The sequence below is a fragment of the Homo sapiens genome, chromosome 6 (assembly GCF_000001405.40).
Source record: "Homo sapiens chromosome 6, GRCh38.p14 Primary Assembly".
In the NCBI taxonomy this organism is placed as follows: domain Eukaryota; kingdom Metazoa; phylum Chordata; class Mammalia; order Primates; family Hominidae; genus Homo; species Homo sapiens.
Window position 1 is genome coordinate 45410452 of NC_000006.12, and position 21906 is coordinate 45432357.

At 42.2% G+C, this 21906-nt stretch overlaps 1 protein-coding gene and 1 long non-coding RNA gene across 5 annotated transcripts in view, besides 5 other annotated features; one reads left to right on the forward strand and one right to left on the reverse strand.

The window, feature by feature from the left end:
* Window positions 1–21906, forward strand: part of RUNX2 (RUNX family transcription factor 2) — a 222753-nt gene that overhangs the window by 82122 nt on the left and 118725 nt on the right. For 2 of the 4 annotated variants that reach the window (NM_001024630.4, NM_001015051.4), the window contains exons 3-4: window positions 12142–12506; window positions 21412–21568. In NM_001024630.4, the coding sequence (NP_001019801.3) occupies window positions 12142–12506; window positions 21412–21568 (522 nt within the window). Of the gene's footprint in view, window positions 1–11823; window positions 12507–21411; window positions 21569–21906 lie in introns of those variants that run through there. The other 2 variants (NM_001369405.1, NM_001278478.2) reach the window with 1 other exon arrangement.
* LOC124901324 (uncharacterized) lies at window positions 10628–11765 on the reverse strand. The gene is made up of 2 exons (XR_007059602.1): window positions 11394–11765; window positions 10628–11208 (listed from the first exon to the last, which is right to left on the reverse strand). It is a non-coding gene; the product is annotated as an uncharacterized LOC124901324 (long non-coding RNA).
* Window positions 12228–12296: a repeat instability region, noted in NCBI's record as "repeat instability region; changes in the polyglutamine-coding tract can disrupt the gene product, resulting in cleidocranial dysplasia". NCBI's record gives the evidence for it as "EXISTENCE:nucleotide sequencing assay evidence [ECO:0000219][PMID:9182765]" and "EXISTENCE:polymerase chain reaction evidence [ECO:0000082][PMID:9182765]".
* Window positions 12228–12350: a biological region, named in NCBI's record as "runt related transcription factor 2 polyalanine expansion region".
* Window positions 12231–12296: a tandem repeat, noted in NCBI's record as "imperfect repeat".
* Window positions 12299–12343: a tandem repeat, noted in NCBI's record as "imperfect repeat".
* Window positions 12300–12350: a repeat instability region, noted in NCBI's record as "repeat instability region; expansion of the polyalanine-coding tract are a cause of cleidocranial dysplasia". NCBI's record gives the evidence for it as "EXISTENCE:nucleotide sequencing assay evidence [ECO:0000219][PMID:9182765]" and "EXISTENCE:polymerase chain reaction evidence [ECO:0000082][PMID:9182765]".

The window sequence follows — 21906 nt, forward strand, 5'->3', positions numbered from 1 at the left end:
GTTTCTACCTAAGGGGATATATTCATTCATTCATTCATCAACTAATATATATTGATCACATGCTACATGCCAGAACTTATGCTGACTGTGGGGGCTATCTAGGGATAACATGTTAACATGGCTCCAGGGGACACTATTCACGTGGTATATACATGGAATATGGTAGGGATGGTGTTTCCAGACTTCTTCAATCGTGTGGTTCCAGATTTTCTGTGGATAGGACATAGTTCCTACGGTTAAGGAGCACACAGTTCTGTGTACAGTTGTACTGTTAACCAAGACGGAAAAAAAATAAGGACTGTGCACCGAGCCTTGGGAACCTACATGTTGCCCCTTGTCTTTCTTTTCACCTGAAACAATTAGTTTGGCATATTGGACATGCTGACCTTGAAGGGTTTATGGAATGTTTAGATGGAAATTTCTATGAAACCACTGGACATGTTAGTCTAGAGCCCTTGGTTAAGGGTTTATAGTGAGTTAGTTAAAAAGGCTTCCCAGTGCACTTCCCACTTTTCAGTCTACCCAATCTTTTAGGATGTGCAGAGAAGAAGTGTAGTTTACATGTGGTCCTGTTGCTCTGTTCCTGGAAGGGAGTTCAAAGGGAAGAGACCAAGTCTCCACTCCAATATAAACCTTCTGAAAGTTTTTTTCTTTCAATGGCTCCAAATTGCACACTCTACAATTGAGAAGTTCAGAAAATTGAGTAACTCATATTAAAATTTTCAAGACCGCAAAGGTTTTTCACATAATAGAACAATTTTAAGGGTGAAGTAAATGAATTCAAACTAATTTATTTTTCTTTTCATATATGTCTAATAAAAATGACTGACGGATTGTTTGGACTTTAACGTGTTTAGATGTGAGTCTCCCCCCTTTTATTCAGTGACAAGTGCAAAGCAACTTGCCAACAATTTTTTTTTCAATTTTGTAATTTTAACACTGACAATAAGAAACATTCTATAGAAAGTTTGACTTTGAACTGGAATATTTTTGCCATATCTCTGCCTAGAGGGAATTTTTATGGTTGAGTTTGTAAATGCTAGCAAAACAAAGTTGAAAATGGAAAAGCTTTCAATTTTCAAGGCTAATGTAAGATGAGTTATGCTTCTTATGCATCATACTTCTGGTAATTCTCTTATTTTTTATTTGTTGCAGTGTAAATTTTATCAGAGAAGCCTTTGAAAAAAAGATATTTATTTTTGTATGAACCAATACCATCAGCATCAGAGAAGCCATAATTTAATTATGAAGGACTATATATTATAATAAGTTATAACACTTCAACCAGTTTTCATGTTTGTAGTTATGGGCACACTATAATAATTTCCTTCAGTAAGGGTAAACACCAGTGAAGCAAGTTAAAAACAGAATAAATAAAAAAACTATATTCAATGAAACTACTAGATGCAACCCACATTTCCAGTAATCCTGGAGAATAGTAAGCATTAAGCTTAAGATCTGGAACATCTCATTCAGTGTGCTTTACTGTAGGATATCTTACTTGAAAATAATAAGAATAATGTCACTCAATAGCATTTTAGACTTGTTGATTATCTATGTACATATAAATCTGGTCTAAATGTTGAGGTAAAAATCCGAATTAAAACTTGCTGAGGCTGGGCACAATGGCTCACACCTGAAATCCCAGCACTTTGAGAGGCCAAGGCCAGAAAATCGCTTGAGGCCAGGAATTTGAGACTAGCCTGGGCTACATGCCCAGTATCTATAAAAAATACAAAAAAAAAAAAAAAAAAATTAGCCGGGCATGGTAGCTCATGCCTGTAGTTCCAGCTACTCGGGAGGCTGAGGTAGGAGGATTACCTGAGACTGACAGTTTGAGGCTACAGTGAGCTATGATCACACCGGTACACTCCAGCCTGGGTGACAGAGAGAGACCCTGTCTCAAAAAATAAAAAATAAAAAACAAAACCCCCCAAAAAAAAGAAGACTTGCTAAGATTCTTTTGTACGTATGAGAAGTAAACTAAGGGTTTTGATTTTGAGGCATGTGAAAAATCCCTACTTCAAAAAGCCAGAGAATCAGTATATCATGGTTAAGACTCAAACCTAGTCATCAAAAACTGTAGAAAGAGGTTTCACTTAGGAAACAGAAATAAATATATTCTCTGGGCAAAGATGTGAATTCAGAGAAAAATAACTGCATTGACAAAGGAAAGAATACTGGCCAAATAACCTTTTTTTAAAAAAACAGTTTTTTTCCTACTTTTTTTTTTTTACTCTGGTAAAAGTTTACCTTCATAGTGGCACTGGTGGGAACTGCCCCTTTTATTGTTATTTATTTACTTATTTCTGAGACGGAGTCTCGCTCTGTCATCCAGGCTGTAGTGCAGTGGCACAATCTCGGCTTACTGCAACCTCCGCCTCCAAGATTCAAGTGATTCTCCTGCCTCAGCCTCCCTGAGTAGCTGGGACTACAGGTGTGTGCCACCACACTCGGCTGATTTTTGTATTTTATTTTAGGTAGAGGCGGGGTTTCACCATGTTGGCCAGGCTGGTTTCAAACTCCTGGCCTCAAGTGATCAGCCCACCTTGGCCTCCCAAAGTGCTGGGATTACAGGCGTGAGCCACTAGGCCTGGCGGGAACTGCCTCTTTTAAACTCTTGTAAAGATTTGATAATGGAATCTATTTTATTTACTAAAGGAGAATCTAATTAATTTAACATCAAAGATACACTTATGGGAATGAAAGAAAATAAGCCCCAAGTGTAATGTGTTTGCAATGTATTTAAATAAAATCAAAGACAATTCTAAAACAGACGGAAACAACAAAACAGGAATGTCTACTTCTTTAAAATTACATAGTAATAAGCAGATAATCCATATTTTTGTTGTTAAAGAGTGATAACCAGGTAAGCACAGGACACACACACACAATCACCCTTACATAGTGAAGGTCAAAATTCTGTTATATCTGCTATCAATACTTCAAGTAGATACAGAAAGTTAAAAGATACATTCTTTTTTTTTTTTTTTTTTTTTTTTTTTGAGACAGCCTGTTGCCCAGGCTGGAGTGCAGTGGAGTGATCTTGGCTCACTGCAACATTTGCCTCCTGGGTTCAAGTGATTCTCCTGCCTCAGCCTCCTGAGTAGCTGGGATTACAGGTACACGCTACCACACCTGGCTAATTTTTGTATTTTTAGTAGAGATGGGTTTTCATCATGTTGGTCAGGCTGGTCTTGAACTTCTGACCTTGTGATCCGCCAGCCTTGGCCTCCCAAAGTACTGGGATTACAGGCATGAGCCACCAGAGCTTGGCCTAAAAGATACATTCTTTTGTGGAAGAATATGCAGTGATTGCAATTTGTACTTATATTTAATAACATATTAAAAAAATAAAGATGCTCGTAATGAAGCAAGGAAGCCTGAAATCACTCGGTAAGTTCTCAATACCCACAGACCTAGGGCTGGGCCAGGATGAGATGAAATGATGGAGGCCCTAGCTAGCCTTAGGGGCAAAACTTAAGGGAGTTCCAAACAAACCCTAGTATTCAAGATATGATTTTAATGGAATATTCTGAAAAATGAAATTGAATACCAATAAATACATGATAAACAAAATATCAAAGTATTAAATAATGAGGGGATCCACTCCCACACCTGCATAACTCTTCTGCTTCATCTTAATGAGGACTCAAGAGGAGTGAAGAGTCATGCCCAGAGAAACTTTCATTCAACTCTCCTTTTTAGATGAAGGAAGGTAATGGGCTGTAATAGCGAGGAAAAGACCAAGATTGTGGCTTCTAGAAGCAACATGAATATTCTCCCTCTTGTAAATGTGCACAAAAGTGGGAATCATGGTACCAAGGCCCTCTTTGGCTTGGCTGCTTGTAGCCAAGCCAACTTCACTTCTCCACTATATTACAATATTCCCTTCTAGACAGAACGGTCCCTTTAATGTTCCAACACATTTTTTTCCCACTTTGATTTAGCTCAGTATTTTCTAAAAATACTTCAAAGACCTTTAAATTCCTTTAGAAGCAATAATTAAATAAGTTTGTAAATGCTGTATTTACAAACTTGTAAGTCCGTCTAGTGGAGATTCAAAATGCATGTAGCATATTAAAATCTGGGATAAAATTGACAATATGAAGTCTGTTTATCTTGTTTAATACAGCGTTTTCCCAATTTTATTTTATCATAGAGTCACAGCACTACCCAGTCTCTGACTTCAACTGCAATAAGGCAGCAATCGTCTAGCCCTGCTCCCTTTCTTTCCTTGGTGGTAGTAGCATTTTGCTTTTCTGATTCTGTAAGGTATCTCTCCACCTTCCCAGATCCTGGCTTTTTTTTTTTTTTTTTTTTTTTTTTTTTTATCAGATCTAGTGATAAGGCAGCTCTGGAATTTTTGCCCAGGATTTTGTTTATGTGTATTTTAGTTTCAGTATGGACATAAGATCATGGGATTTCATGGAAGATGTCAGGACGACTGTGGGAAGAAACACTGACCAATTTTAGCCTGTGCTTTAAAATAGCCATATCTATACTCTCTGTCTACATCTTCTTCTCTTTAAAATATATGTCCTCTAATTATAGGCTTATAATTAGGAAGAGATAAATCATTTAATAGATGTGATATGGTGTTGGAAATCCTCATCTTATAATTACCCCAGTGGAGTGATCCAAAATGGAAACCACTATGAATAGGCATGTCTTGGGGATCAGAAAATGGAAACCTTAGCATATCAGTCTAAGTCCAATGAGGACAGAGAAACCATATAGTAATTTGAATAAGAAAAGTTTAATGTGAAGAATTATTGACTATAACAGAGGATTGGAGAAACAAGGAATTGGCTAGGAAGAACTAAAAATAACTCTAAAGAATACAGGAATAACAGCATCCACTACCCTCAGGGCTGAAATACAGCAACAAAGTAAGAGTCCTCCCCTCTTCTCAACCAAGGCTGAATCCAGACCCTGCACAGCCTTGGCTCCCTGGGTGGCAGAGAAGTTGTGCTAGTAGAGCTTGCTGCAGATCTGCTCTCTAGGGTGCTGGGGAAGGCTGTTCACACGGAGTTGCCTCACCAGAGCCACACTGCTACAAACAGCCCAGGAGGGGAGGGTGCTGGGGGAAACTTCTGGCTACCGGTGCTTCAGGAGCCTGGCACTGGAAAAGCTAGCTTTATTGCAGCAGCTGGGCTTTGGAGAAGATGTGGGTATGTATGCACTTCAGGAGCCAGGAGCTGGGAAATCTATATGTCCTGCACTGCAGAAACTGCTGTGTGAGCACAAGTTAACCAGGAAGCAAAACCCTTTCCTCCTGCAATGTCTTTCTAACGTCCCCACCGACAAAACATGATTGCCAACTGATAAAGAGAAATATTTAATGGATCCGGATTCATTTTCACAGAGCAGGTAAAAAAAGGTGAATTTGGAGCTGCAAGACAATAAACTGATAACTGGCACACCTAGGGAAGAAAAATGATCTGGAAGAAATATTGTCACTAATAGGAATATGAGTCAGGAAAAGATCCTGCCAATAACGAAGATAATTCAGGAGAATCATCTAATGTCAGAAAAGATGAGTCATTGCTTTTAGAAATTGATTATGACTAGATGGGAAGAAGAAATTGTTTTCTCTGAGAAAAGTCTAGTTTAGAAAAGCATGGGGAAAAACACTGAGAGAACGGTTTCTGAGTATGAAATCCAGAATAGCAAAAAACTTAGAATGGTGACTTATAATAACTGGCATCCCCTAGGATTGCAGCTAATAGAACCAAGTTGAACTCTTACTATTCTATTTTTTTCTGTTCTATTTTTTCTTACTTTGCTAGTTTGTAATTCAAATTTCTCACACTGTGCAAATGTTGATATTTTTAGTACTTTACTAGATGAACTGAGAGTATTATGATTTACATTTTTCACTTTGATGGCAGGGTGTAGGGAGGGGACAAATAATTGAAGTCACTGCCCTAATGCCTAAAGTGAAACTTTGGAACCTTGGGCAGTGAGATTAGAATAGGATAGCACCTTCCTTGGTGACTTAAAGGCAATATGTGAGCAGCTGGGTAAAGAATGGCTGAATTACTACAGGAAATCTTTAATTTTAGGGTGTTCTTAGAAGTTTCATCACAGACCTCTGTAAACTTTTATATATAACATTCCACTGCTGCTCAAAGATCACTGCTACTGCCATAGGACAATTGCCAACACCAAAATACCAGAAGGCTGATTTGAGAAAATTAGTTTTCTCTGACTCCTGGGTAATGAATTAGGCTCTTTTTAGAAATTACATTGGTTTCTTAAGGTAACTAGGGTGTCGTTTAGTAAGTTGGTATTTTAGTCAAACAAAATATATACCTCTTTAGTCAGTACCATGCCTGAAGAGTAATTACACAGATGCTCCATGAATGTGGTTCTGAAAGGTCATATGGCAAGTGTCAGCCTTTTTATGACAACACTGTACTCTCTTGTAAGTGCCTGAATATGGCCCTTGGGAATGCTAACTAAAACAACAAGGAAAGGTTTATGATGCTAAGTCCTCCACTACAAACATTTCATCTCTTGTTACAGCCATGCAAATTATTATAGGTCCATTGACAATGGGAAAAATTTACTGAGCTTAAAACAAATCAGACAGTATTTAACGGTATAAAAAGTTAAAATGGAAAAAATATGTCAAAAAGCTTTGGGATCACTTAAGTTACTAAGCTAACTGTCTGAAAACTGTATATAGGTCTTACGAATATATTGTATACTAGAAAATTATTGGTAAGCTCATTGAGTTTCTTGTGTAATCATGTGCAACACAGTTGGAATAAACCTACTAAAACCTTACCTATTTTTTATGTTCAGACTACATGAGAGTTTCTTCACTCTTCTTCATCTATGCAGTTAATGTGTTCCCACTATATTTTAAGGACAATGGAAAATGCTGACATATGGAGATGTGTAAGAAAATTGTTCTTAAGGAGCCTGTGAAAATGTACTCGCTCCTCATTCTTTTCTTTCTGTTTTGGCACCTCCAAAATTATTAAGTGAAAAATATTAATCTAATTAACAATTTATGCAGAAAAGAATAAGTTAAATGTTACGTTGTTCACTTTTAGAGAACTAATCTGAACCACATGCACACCCATTCCAGTATCTTTATAAAATATCTACTCTTTTCTGCTATCTCACTCCTCCATGGTCTTGCATCCCTTTCACTTTAGGGCAAGGGTTGGCAAACTTTTCTGTAAAAAGTCAGTAGATATTTTAGGCCTTGTGACTCGTACAGTGTCACAACTACCCAATTCTTCTGCTTTAGGTGAAGGCAGCTATAGATAATACACAAATGACTGACCATAGGTATATTCCAATAAAGCTTTATTTGTAGACACTGAAATTTGCATTGCATATCATTTTCATGTACTATGAATATTATTCTTTTAATTTTTCAACTATTTAAAAATGCAAAAAACATCTTTGAGAATTGTACAAAAACAGGCATTAGGCCAAATTTGTCCCATGGGCCATAGTATGACGACTCCTGGTCTAGTGGCAATGCTGCTTCTTCAAGGGCTGAGTAACCTTCTGTCAATCAGAGTCCAAACGAAAATTCTCCAAAGATCGTTCTGTTTATAAAGTTTTCCCATATGAGACATTCAAAGCTTTAGGGATCATCAATGTGCCCATAATTTTCCATTGGTTTTCCCACTTTAATAGCTGGTCCATTGAAAAATATTTTAAGATTTTACAGGGACTTATTCTACTTTTCATCATAAGTATATATAAAATAATGTATGGGGGTTAGAAAAGGAAACCAGGATAAAAGGCCTATGGGTTCTGTTCCCAGTCAGTTCTTTGACTGGATAAATAACCTGACTGCTTCACATCTCATTTTCTTTGTCTAGAAAGTCAGAATTGTCAGGTGTTGTTACTAAACAGTTATGTTAAATGTTAAAGGACATGGTAGGGAGTGGTGGGTGGGATTATGTTTGTATCTTCCAGAGTTGCCACATTTTCAGAAAAAAAGTGTATACTTTTTAGTGCCATCACATACAACTGAAAAGATGAATATTTCTGAAGAGAAATAGGGTGGGTGATTTGTTTCAAACATTTTGACGTAGAAAATCTAAACCCAAAGATGACATCAAGCAAACTATAGCACAAAATACACATATGTAAAACCTCATGGTTTTCCTATGTGCCTACGATTAACAGGAGAGGTTTGGTTTAGGGGTCTGTAAAAATGTTTTCTTTCTTTAAGCATAATGCTCAGAGCCAAGACATCATCAGCTCCAGGCTCAGTCAGTTCCAGTCGAAAGTGTGAATGTTCAGCAAAAGGATGTTTTTGAAAGGAGACTGAAAACCCACTGTGCCAGATACCTGAAACGTTGTTAGGGTATTCAGTGGAAAATTTCATTTCCACATTATAAATAACTGTAGGATATTTTAAGAGATCCAAGACTAGTAACTTCCAAGAGCTGCTTATATTAGTTCCACTGAAATGTGAAATGGAGGAAGGATACTGAGAAAGGCCATAAAGCTGAGTTACTAGATATGATTAATTAAAATAAATAATCTCACTATTGATTAAATTGCCCTTAAAATCCCCAACCACTGAGGACTGCATAGTTTGCTATCCACCAAATAAAACAAAGGACAAAACAGCGATGGAGAAAAAAGGAGGAAAAGTCCCCAAGGTAACTTCTTAAATTCAATTCTAGAATTTTTTATTTGGAAAGCCCCTCTGGTGGTCCATATTTGAAATATTAATTGTTTCTTATTGTCTTCAAAGTTCCAGGAATTCTCTGTTCTATGGACTTCCTGGGAGGAGGACAATCCCAGAGAAGGTGGCATATCACCCACCATGGTAGTTATGGAATTTTGGTGTCACTTTTACCATAGAAATAATCAATTCCCATAACTGCTTCCCCCCTTTGCAGCCCCCACAGATTTAAAAACAAAAAACGAGCCAGGGATCTCTGTTAGACAGTGGCACAACATGCCCAAAGTAAAACTAGCCCCCTAAAAAGAAAAAAAAAAGGCAGGAAAAAAAAGCCATGACTCTATGAGTGTGTATGTATTTATGTGTGTCTGCGTGTGGACTTGCAAGAGTGTGTGTCCGAGTGCACATGAGTGGACGTGTAAGGTAGGACAGCAATGGATGCAGTCTCTCTCTCTCTTTTTTGAGGCGAAAGCCTGGCTTCCCTTCCCGGATCGGCCGCCTGTGGGACTCGAGAGACCTGTGCACGCAGGGGACGCGGCGGTGCCCGGGGTTAGAGCTCTCCCCTGTGACCGAAAAGATAATTAAAAATCGCACGCGCAGGAGCCAGCTCAGCTCCTGGCTGCGCTTCCAGTTGGTCCGGTCTGGCTAAATGGGTTCTCGCACCCTGGCGGCGCCCGGGCTGGGAGGCCAGTAGGCCGGGCGCGAAGAGTAGGTTGGGGACCAGGTGTCATAGCCGGTGGCGCAGAATCGCTTCTCGGAGTCACCGAGGGTGGCAGTGGCAGGCGGCGGCTGTGGGGCGGGAGGGGCGCGGCTTGGGGCTAGTGTCTGTGGAGGGATTTGGGGAAGAGGCAGGAACGTGGAGAGAAACGTGGGAAAGGGAAAGACCGACGAGGGAGGCGTGGAGCAGTGCATGGAGGAAGGGCAGGTAAAAATAAAGCCCCAATTAGGAAGGACAGAGTAGTATCCCCTGAACTCCATCCTTACCCCTCGAGAGCGCACACCTGGCTACCCCGCACCCCCACCTCTGCTCCCGCGGTCTGGCAGACCCTCAGTCCCCCGCGCATCTCTTCAGCGGGGCGATCCCGAGTCACGCAACCACAGCCCCCCAAGCTCATCTTGTACTCGAAAGGGCTCCAGAGTCCGCGACTGGCACCAGGCCCCCATCTTCCGTGCCCCTCATGCTCTCAGAGCCCTTCCAGGCCCCTTCTAGGGCGCAGACCCGGGCGTGGGCTCAGCGAGTGGGAGCAAAGCTCTAAAACCAGACAGGGAGGGTCGTGGCAGGTCGCTACGAGGGTGAGGGAGGCGTTTGCACTGAGCAATAAAAACACCCAGTAATGGGTATGTGAATTGCTTTAAATAAGATGGGAGGGCGTGAGAGATGACCCAACCATCTTTCTTCCTTGATGCTTCGAGGGGGAGGCATTCTAATTCTTCATTTATTTTATAAAATCACTTGTTACTGTGTCAGCTACTCCACTAGGAATCTTTGAAACTTTGGCAACTGATGATTTTTTTCGCAAACACGTTTTCAAGCTTTGGAAGGCTTTAAAGAGTTTGGTAATAAGCAAGAAACGTAGTAGTACACAACGCCGAGGGTAAAACGGCCCTGTGCCCCCTTCTTGGGGTGTAATAGCCTCAAGCGGATTTCCCGGCTTCTGCGGGCGCAGCACATTGTTTTATTTGTTTTGAAGGCTCAGAGTTTGAGGCTGGTCGTAGACACCCACGTGCTCTGACTCTCATCAGCGTAATGATCGACTTAGCCAGAGTCGTGTCTATATAAACCACAAAAACCTAATCATTAGAAATCCCAGCCTCCAAAAACCACATTTTAGGTAAAAAGTGCCGCTTTTTTTCCGCGCTCCTTCATCCTCTCGACCACAACTTTTTGGGGGATCCAAAGTCGCTTTTTAAACCCACACTAGGAAATAAATACATAAATAAACAGCCACGGAAGCATTTTGAATTTTTTAGTTCGTATTTTTAATTTTTCCCCGTGAGCGCTGGGGAAGACAGACACGAAACTTAGTCTTAGATGTAGAATAGACTTAATAAAATATTTAAATTCATGGAAAACGGCTGGTGCTTTTCCCCAGCAAGGGTTTTGCAACTTATTTTAATCACAAAGCTGACAGTTTTTCAGTCCTTAAAACAAAAACAAACAAACAAACACCTCATTCTTGTTCTCTAGGAATGACAAGATTGAATATATAAGAAAAAAGAAATGTCCAGCTATGCACTTGAGTTCCTAAAAACTATTTTGACTAGATCTCCCTCCACCCCCCCTCCTCATTTTTTTTGTGTCACTTAAAACAAAAAACACCCAAACCCTGCAAAATCTTTTTCCCTTGGGAGTCGCTCAGACAGAGGTGGGGGTAGAGGTGGGAGGGTGAAGAGTGCTGAGAAGTCAGCACAGAGGCTCAAGAATTTTCTTTCCTCCTCTCCTGAAGTTACAACGAAAAATAGCGACAGTCAGATCAGCCGGGGGCTCTCTGGTGTCTCGGCTTCAATCTCTTCCTACAAAGAGGGGGTTCCTTGTCCTAGGGGTGGGGAGAGCAAGAGGACGCGACCTGGCGAGATTGCCCCTAGTCTGGGGCCGCCTCTAGGCTTCGGAAACTGCACACGGCGCGCGGGGGGCTCCTTCTCGCGGCCGGCTGGCGGCGGCAGCGGCTGCGATTCGCAGGCTCGAGATTCGTTGCCCCGAGATCCGCTGCCCACGACTTACCTCTTGGCACCTTGAAGCGCGAGAGACAGGGGAGCTTTGCAAATTGCAGGAGGGAGTGGATGCAAAGAGGTGGCTGTGAGAGGGCGAGAAGAAAAGAAGGGAAAGGAAGGAGCCTAGCCGGGGAGCCGGGCTGGCAGCCGCCGCGGGAGGAATCTGAGCGTGCAGCCCGCGCGGGGGGAGCGGCGGCCGCCGCGGAGGCGGCGGCGCGGGAGGGCGGAGGCGCGGCCGCCTGCAGCTGGGTAGCAGCGCGCGGCGCGGCGCGGCGGTGGCGGGCAGCGCGCGGCAATGCCGGCCCCGGGGCTGGACTGCTGAACCCACACCGCTTCACCACCGGACTCCAACTGGGAGGGGGCGCCAGCGCACCCAGGACGCGGTGCCCCAAGGGACCCCATTCCAAGCTGCAAACTCAAGTCCCCCGCCTCCCCAGGCCAAACACACCCCCGCGCCCGTTCGCAGCTGCCACCCCGGGTGTTCCAAAGACTCCGGCAAAGATCTGCGCCTCCCGGGTCTCCCTACCCGCCAGCCCGACTGCGCCGCATCGCCAGACTCTGTTGGCCCATCAGACTCCGCCCGGCAGTCGGCCTCATCAAACTTGATTTCTCACCTCCTCAGCCCCATCACCTCCATCCTCTTTCCCCCCGTCTCGCCTTCACCCCCCCAATTTCCTCCTTGCCCCTCATTTCCACCCTCCTCCCCCTCCCCCGGCCACTTCGCTAACTTGTGGCTGTTGTGATGCGTATTCCCGTAGATCCGAGCACCAGCCGGCGCTTCAGCCCCCCCTCCAGCAGCCTGCAGCCCGGCAAAATGAGCGACGTGAGCCCGGTGGTGGCTGCGCAACAGCAGCAGCAACAGCAGCAGCAGCAACAGCAGCAGCAGCAGCAGCAACAGCAGCAGCAGCAGCAGGAGGCGGCGGCGGCGGCTGCGGCGGCGGCGGCGGCTGCGGCGGCGGCAGCTGCAGTGCCCCGGTTGCGGCCGCCCCACGACAACCGCACCATGGTGGAGATCATCGCCGACCACCCGGCCGAACTCGTCCGCACCGACAGCCCCAACTTCCTGTGCTCGGTGCTGCCCTCGCACTGGCGCTGCAACAAGACCCTGCCCGTGGCCTTCAAGGTAAGAGGCTACACCGCCCCCCGCCCCCGGCCGGGAGCGGCGGAACCTGCCCGCCGGTGTCTTCCTGCCCACGGGGCTGGGCCCCGGACGTCCTCCAAGACCTCCTGCCTTGGCGGCTCTAACCCCAGAAACCCCCGGCCGGGCCTCCCTCCGGATGCCCTGGCGGGCTCGGGGCTCAGTCCCTCCGCGCAAATCCCTCCCTCTCCCACCTGTGCCCGCTGCCACCCCGACTTCAGCCCTAGTCCCCCTGACCCGTTCAGCACTCCTCATGCCTCCTGCCTGGCCTTGATTCTCACTCACTCCTTCGCGCCGTCTCCCTTTCCCCCAGGATCCCCAAAGTACCCACTCTTGCACTGCGAGCGGACTTGCTCCACCCCGCCCCTTTCCCGGGGGCGAGGATCCCCGGCATTGTCCCCTGGGGCTCCCGCGTCCTTCCGGGACATCCCGGCCTGGCCGCATTGCGGGCTGCCCGCGCAGCCTCTCTTTGGGGCTCCGCGCGCTCTCACCCGCTTCCCTCACAGCCAAACGCCTCTCCTCAGGTCTCGGCGTCCCCTTCCCCGACCCGCAGAGTTCAGCGGTCCTGGTCCCTCCCGGGCTCCCGTGCCGGGATTCGTGGGGTGCCGGTGCCGGGCATTAGTGCCCGGGGCTGGGCGTGGGGTGCTGACTGAGGCGCGCGGGCTGCGCTACCAGTGCCCGGGAGGGTCCTGGACAAACCTAGGGTCTCCAGAGGAGGGGGTGTCAGGGCGGGGGCGTTTGCTCTGTTCGCTGACCCGCGCCAGATCCCGTTACCGGGAGGAAGGCGGGGCCGCTGGGGCGTCCGCAAGCCCCGAAGCGGGGGCGTTCAGGGGGCCTGGGCGCTGAACCCTCGAGTGCTGGGAGGCGCGGGCCAGGGGACGGGGCGGGAGCTCGGGCCGCTTCTTCCAGCCGGGACCGAGCTCTGCGCCTCGCCCCGCCAGGGAGGGATGAGGGAAACCTGTGGAACAACTTTAGTTCGCCCAACTTGAAAACGGAGGTGAAATTTTGTATTTTTGCTTTATTATTATTTTTAAAGGACTTAAATCTAAAAAAGATCCCTCCTGCTTCTGAAAGGTGGTGAGAGGCTCCTGCTGGTGGCCTGAGCACGGAGTGAGCTCGAAGGCTTGAGAGCGGCCTCTGCGCGCCCCGCAGACTCTTGTGCCTGCCCGGCCCGTTAGTTTGAGGGCGGGTGGCAGCCGCGGGAGTCGCAGGCAGGTGCTCCGCAGGTTGAGGTTTTAGGATCTGGAGCCTCTCACAGTAGCCCGATGGCTCTCCATAACCCGATCCAGATTTCCCGGGGTAGCCCTCTACAGGGGGGAGACGCGGAGCCCCCAGGGCCCAGCGCACACTGGGTTGATGGGGAAACGGGTTCCCAGGCTGTCCACACTCGCAGGACTGTCCACACTCGCAAGACGCCAGGGATGCAGGGGTGGTAAGCCAGACGTGGAGATGAGACTCTCAGAAAGGTGCTTTGGGCCCTTGCTAACCTCTGAACTTGAGTAGGTGGGCCTGGGTCCCCTGGGTTCTGAGGTCTGTGGAGAGCAGGGCAAGCAAGGCCTTGGGGGAGGTTAAAAAAAAAAGTTGGGGGAGGAATCATGCCAGTTTCTCCGCTGGGGACCCTGGGGCCAAACTCCCACGGGCCACTGACAGTTCCCAGTTGTTGATCACCCCCACCCCACGCACCAATTCAGATTCCGTGTGTGGGTGGGATGGAAAGAAAGAGGAGTCCAGGTCAATTAGACCTGGTTATCTCGCTAGGACTTATATCAGAACAGAAATCAGAATGAATTGTTATGGAAAGGGGATGTTGCATTCTGGGGCAAGTTTCATTTTGCAGTTGGCTCAAGAAATTTTTTTTTTTAACCGTCACATTTCTCCTTTTATAAACCACCCATTTTGTAGGTTAATGTTTGCTTCCTTGAAATAGGAAAAGCTCAGAATACATGTGAATTGTATAAATTTAAATTTCCATACAATATATATCTTTTACAATGTCCATCGTCCAAGGGCCCAGAATTTTTAAATTAGTCTTATATGAGAATGGAAATTTGTTTCCACCAACGCCCTCCAATCCCCCAAACCAAAAGCCCCCAAAAACCCCAAACCTGGATGAAAACAGCAAAAAATACAAATAAGTAGATACCTTGTCTGCACAATGCCACAAATCAGAATATGTGAAAATATAAGAACAGATGCTTACATTTTTAAAGTGTTCCATATACCATTCTGCTAAACATATTTAAGGTCTATCTTGAACTGTTCTCTTGCATTTATGCGGCTGAATTGATTTGAACATGAGCATTTTGGATGGAAAGGTTGTTTTTTGCACTTTAGCTTGAGCTAGTCTCAGATATTTTGGCTGTCATCTAAGATTTTTCACTACCACCCTTTAAAAATTATTTTGAAAATAAATTTTGCTCTTTGTTATTAATCAACTTGTTAATCACACAGAGTACATTTTTGTATCTTAAGCAGTAAACAGACCGTAGGTAACAAGACCATATTAAATTGACTATTTTAATTCATATCAATTGAATAATGAATTGAGTTAACCTACAACCTGACTGTCAATGTCTTTCTATCAACATACCTGTGTTAAACAATTCAAAAAGTGGGTGATAGCTAAGATCTACTCAGTATAGAAAATACTCTGTTGAGAAAAAATGTATGGATGTTTGGAACATCCAGATTGTGACAACCTCTCTTTACCCTACTTTTGGAATAAAAGCCTGAGAGCACTAGACTTTCTATACTCTTACAATATAATCAAATACATCTGCAATGAAGAAATAATATGAAGAAGTCTCCCTTTTAAAAGTGGTGACAGCAATTTGGCCATGATATTTAGAGCTATGTAAAAAATAGATTATAGTGGTTGTCAGGTCAATAGCAGATAGGTAAATGGATTTAAACACACACATACACACACACACACACAACTTATTTGTTGTGAAGTCTGATATTCAAATCAATACAATATTTATTGAGCCCGTATTTTGTATCTGTCACACTGAGCTTGACACCGCAGAGAATCAGAAATGAATTCAATAGACTGTTTTGAAATGTCAGTTTAAACTCGTGTTTAAACACGATATTGTCAATCTATTTCATTAAGAATGTATTAGCGTTGTTCATCTACTCTTGTTTCGAGATGATATAAAATTTATTTATTTTTACATGTAAAAATGCAAAAACAACTGGTATACTTTATATAAAGTTGTTTATTAACATTGTATTTTTAACAAAGTTCTGCAGTTTTGAAATGTTCGGTCCCCCCAGGTGTCAAGGAAACGGAAATAAATATTTTTAACATTTTCAGGTGTATCTCACTGAAACCTTAAAATAGTTAGGGCATACTATTAGAGGATCCCAGACCCTTTCTATCCTAGATAATTCTAGTGACAAAGAAGTAATTTGCAAATTCAGCTCATTAGCTGATGGTCAGGTAACGGTGGAGAGAGCGTGTCAACCATGCATCCAGTAGCACCCTTTTAGTTAGGGGTCTGTCAGCATTTCCACTGTGAAGCCTGGTGTTCAGGGTTCGTAACTTAGTTGCCTTAAATAGCTTCAAGCTGAAACACTATGCAGAAATTTTAAGTCCAGATGTATATTTTAAAACTAAAAGTAGTTCAAGTCTATTCTGCTGTTTTAAGTTAGAGAACACTGGACTACATATATTTATCAGTATCATATGTTTTTCTGGCAGTGTTAAAGAAAGAAAACACATTTTTAGATATATAAGCTAGCACTCATAGTTAATTCTGTATATTTAATAATACCTTTCAGTGCTTGTCAAAAGGAGGGGTTTCAAAATGACAGAGCAATTTCTGTTTGAAAATAAATTTTTGGCATCACTAGCCATTTTTCTCTCTTCGAAAACAAATATACAACTGGTAAATACTTGATACCAGTGAGTAGTATTTTTCTTACATAGTTAATGATCAGATTTTATGTTTATATTTTTTGAATCTCATTGTATCTAAACTAGGGAAAATAGGTTGTTAAGCCTGTTAAATCCTTATTAACCGTAATATAAATTATTATGCAAAATTATGTAAATCAATAGATTTCAAGTTGTGTGAAGACAGACACATTTTTGTGTTATGCCTTTGAATTCAAGAAAACTTATTTAAAGTTAAATATTTTGGGACTGAATATATAAAACTTCTAAGTAAGGAAGTTGGAACAAAGAATTTCAGGTGGAAAATAAATACTTATAAAATTTTTTAGAAAACTTCTATTAAATATTTGAAAATAGGTATGGTAGATATCTTTCATTATTTTTTCCTCTTTGGCATTATTGTTTGTATCCTTTCAAAATTCCAGAATATCTATTGTTAGATGATCTAAACCACCATGATACATGGCCCACAAATTGCTGCTTTACATTGAAATAATTTTTATCAAAATTTATCTTTGACATATATATTTTTAAAATTATGAAATGACATATTGTGTTTTTTCTCTAAAATTCAATGGGCTTTTCCTAAGTTCTAGGATAAATTCAAAATATTAACTGTAGTATTTGTTGAAATGTTTTGATACTGTATTTGAAGTTATCTTTAAGTAATTGTGATAGGAATAACATTTTTGCTTTTTGCAATTAGTCTCACTTCTCTTTTTATTGCAAAGAAAGATTTGATCAGATTTTATCTTGAAAAATAATTATATTTCAATTATACCGCAAGTACAATATCCTGAATTATTTTGGCCTATAAGAGTAATTGATTAGTTAAGACTAGACTTCTGTCCATGGAAATGTCATAGGCAATTTTAATTTCCATATAAAAAGATGAGAAACTGTTTTAAGGGTTTGAGTTAATTCTCCATTCCTCTTCTTTTAGTGATTCACAGATTTAGTCATAAGGAGTCTCATACAAAATTTCAATAGCATTACTACAGTTAAATATCCTTCTACTTTATTTTGTGCAAGCCACATATCATGTGATTTAAATGCTAGTTATGGTGAGGTGCGCTAAATAAAGGAACGTCTTTCTCTATTCTGAAATGTCAGGACAGAAAATTACTTCTCCTTTTCTCATGGAGTTTCTTGAATTTGTAGATTTTATATTTTAAAAAAACATAGAAATGTAATTGTTAAGATCATCACAAATTATTCTTTGCAGAGCAGTACTTTTGTATTGGGTAGGATGGAAGCAAATTCTAATTTGTGCTTATTCCTAACTAGTTAAAGAGCGAGTTTTGACTGCACTTTACCCCTTCAAATGTTTTTCCATTGCTTGGTTTTGGTACAGATGAAATGTGTAAAAATTTCTTGATTCTTTTGGTTTTCTTTTAGATAAACACAGTTGAGAATCTCCAAGGGAAACTTTTTAGCTTCAGAGATCTACTTAAAGAAAAAACCTCTCAAACATATAATTATACTTCTGATTGATATAAAGTCAAATACAGTACTTCCCCCAACTCCCAACCTTTTCTCCCCCTCAGAAAAACATCGGGCAATCTGATTTGGTAGAGTGAATAGCAGAAAAAAAACCAATATATTTAGCCATTAAACTAGAGTTCAGCTTTAACAGGAAAGATTGTCACTACCTTGCATTAGCATTTTTTTTCAGGTCTTGCTCTCAGCCTCATAGAAGGCTCACACAACTTGTGATTATTTATTTGTTTTGTAAAATGTGATACGTAAAACACACTAATATTGAATATGGTCATTATTATACTGCTTAAGCACAGTAAAATGGATGTATGTATTTCACTCTTAGGGATCTTTTCTTTCATATTTTCCCATATTGAATCAATTTTCCATTTCTTCTAACTAAAAAAAAATTCATTATGTTAAAAATATGCAGTAAAATAATAATGTCCCAGAGTTCTTGAAAACCTTTATATTGGGGCAGATTGCTTTTTTTTTTTTTTTTTCGGAAATGTAGCCAGACTTGAGTGAAATCCACCAGCAGTCATCCTGTATCTCTCAACAACATCAAAGAACATCTCAGAACATGAAGTGAGGAAGTACGTACTCAGTTGAACCCTTTAAGAATGCTTATAAGTAAAAGCCTATGTTTAACAGACAGCAGATTTGGAACAGAACACTGTGTTACCCTCCTCATCTTACAAAAAGCACATCATTATAATTACACTCTATACTTATATAGTATCTTCTACATTTTGCAGACTTTCCAATTCATATTGGAAAACTGTGGTTCCTGGAGATGAAGTTATTTTGTGTGAGGTCATAGCAGATATGTAGCAGAAGTGGGGAAAAAGTGGAGCCTCTTGATTTTGGTATATTCATTCTCTTCTAAACAGTACAACTTTTCTCCTGCCTTTATTAATATGCTTACTGGGTCCATATTTACTTTGACATAGAAAGCCACGCAGCAGGTGTTAAAATACAATATGCTGAGTGTACAAAATGTCAAACATTCAGATGAATCCTGGCGAATGTAGTCAATTATTGCAGTATTTTCAAATGTTCACATTTTTGGCATGGTGAATTTGAAAAATTGAAAAGCACATTGCCTCCATCAGGAGTACAGCATTACCTGTATTCAGTAGCCGCTTGAGATATGAGATGACGTGTACAGAGAGGAAGTCTTATTTTCAAGGGATTTTACTTTTGATCCAGGAGACTTCTCATATTGAGAATAACTATATTCTCCAGGGAAAGGGAGGCAGCATGGTTCCGTCTCCTCTGAGATGAAAACAATGTCAGAAAACAAGCTGGGGGCAAGGGCACATTGCTGTTAGCAAGGGGTGCTGACTCAACATTAACTGGCCCTCTCAGAGTTTTAGTGGGTAGCCCCACAGACTTCTGTCTCTGCGAAGTGGGGCTCTTTATGGAGCTCTTTCATTTATTTCAAAAATGTTTACCTGGCTGGGCTCGGTGGCTCACGCCTGTAATCCCAGCACTTTGGGAGGCTGAGGCGGGCGGATCACCTGAGGTCAGGGGTTCAAGACCAGCCTGGCCAACATGGTGAAACCCCTTCTCTACTAAAAATACAAAAATTAGCCAGGTGTGGTGGTGCACACCTGTAATCCCAGCTACTCGGGAGGCTGAGGCAGGAGAGTCACTTGAACCTGGGAGGTGGAGGTTGCAGTGAGCCGAGATCGTGCCACTGCACTCTAGCCTGGGTGATAGACTAAGACTCCATCTCAAAAAAAAAAAAAAATTAATAAAACACTTACCATGTGCTGGACACTTTTGGGAGCAGGGTTGATAAGTGGTGAACAAGACAGATGAGATGAAGGCCCTTCTCTCGTGTAGTTTCCTAACTCATATAATCTGGACTCCTAGGAGTGAGTCCCTCAGCTTTGGCCTGGTATATTTAAAGTAGTCATAGACCATTAATATTAACATATGTACGTTGAAATGAGGATCACTTGAGTACATTGGGAGGCTGGGGAAAGTGGGGCCTGTAATTTAAGGAAGGCTTTATTGATTTTGAACTGAATAACACAGTACTAAATGGAAGGAATGGAACTGAGAAACAGCCTAAGAGAAAAGTAAGGGTGACAAAAATATTGACAAGTTTTTTGTTTGATTGTTTTCCTGGCTGGAGGAGAGGACATAGTGAAGGCGTGTTGCAGTAGGGTTCATGGATGGGGGAAATTCAGCCCTAAAATATAGGTATAGTGTGTATTATCACACTGTTAAGAAATCTACTGTAATATGCCAATTGTATTGGGAACATGGAATTAAATGCTTAGGTTTGTCTTATGGAAATCTTGACAAAGGAGGGAGTAGCACTAGAAGGAGAAAAAGATAAGTGGGAGGTTCACCAGACAGGCAAGCACACAGGGGTATTATTGTCAGACAGCTGTGGGCTACTTGAGCTGCGGTCATTGCTGAGTTACCATGAGGGCATCTGGAAGCTGAATGAGGAAGACATGGAAATAATCTGAATATAGAGTCCTGGAAGTTCGTTGAGAGAAGGGATTGTTACCAAGGGGCAGGATCTTGGCAATGGATTAGGAGGAGTGTTTCATATATGACAGTGAAGGATCTGCACCAGCATCTCCTTACTGGGCTCTGTGTTAATCAAAGGCACACATTTGCATGTTAGCTGACTCAGGTTAAAGTGTTATCTCTAGTCTTAGAGCAGAGAAAATGTTTGTTTGTTCCAAAGATGGATTAATCTAGATCTTTTCTTGATTGAGTTAATTTGCTTCAGATTAACTGTTGAAGATTAAGCAGTCAAGTATGTCATTCCAGGATGGCAGATGGGACACAAGACATAATAGAACTGAGGCTAAGGGTATATATTGTTTTTTTCTTATTTATCATCAATTATTTTCACCTTCAGTTTCTTGATGACTTTGGATATCACACTGGGTCCCACCGCAGTGTGGTTTTCAGTAAATATACTTTATTAAAAGCTGAAGTGCTAGCCCAAAGTAAGGAGATAAAACAGACTACACGATATCTAGGCTCTATGTAGTGAGGAGCCCCAGGGTTTCACTTAAAAATCTTCTCCCATAAAGTTGACCAGACTTGATATTTTTTAGCCTGTGATGGGATAAGACCACACCTCAGGGCTCTCCCTGAGAGAAAGCCTGCAGACAGGTGGTGCCTTGATCTGTATGATGCAATCTGCAGATGGGGCATCCCTCTTCCTTCTGTGGCATAATTCCTACGGACAGCTTAACATGGGGATTTAATAAAAATGTACATATTTTCTGTGAAGAATCCAACAACAAATGAAAGAAGTTTTTGCCTGCCTTTGAAATGGGTGGACCCTGAAACATTGGTCTGTTTGAAGTGGCATCACAACCCATACACAGATGCTTCATTCCTGTCGGCCATTACTGGACTGGACTAGAACACTAAGTCCTGATAAGACACATCATTTGCAATGAGAATATATTCTGTTTGTAAGCCTTTCTGATGTGCCATTATTGCTGCTGTGTTTCCTGTTTTATGTAGGTGGTAGCCCTCGGAGAGGTACCAGATGGGACTGTGGTTACTGTCATGGCGGGTAACGATGAAAATTATTCTGCTGAGCTCCGGAATGCCTCTGCTGTTATGAAAAACCAAGTAGCAAGGTTCAACGATCTGAGATTTGTGGGCCGGAGTGGACGAGGTAGGTCTCTGACTTTTGATACTGATAATAGAATAAGCACATTAGGCTCCTTTGATGAAATGTAGACTAGTCTGTATACAAATCAGCACCTTCTTTTTCTGAATAGAATTACTGAAGATTTGATTTAAATACATCCAGATGAAGTTGAGTGTTTTTCTGAGTACTCAGGCCTTTTTCATTTATTTTATGATATTGAAAATTCAAACAATGTTTTCAGAAAAACTAGCTCCTAATTTCACTGGGTGTGAGCATATAAGGTAGAGAAAAGAACAGTTGGAGGATCAACTTCTGAATTATGAGGAGTCAAATAACTGAGTAAATTGAGTGGTAAAGGGGAA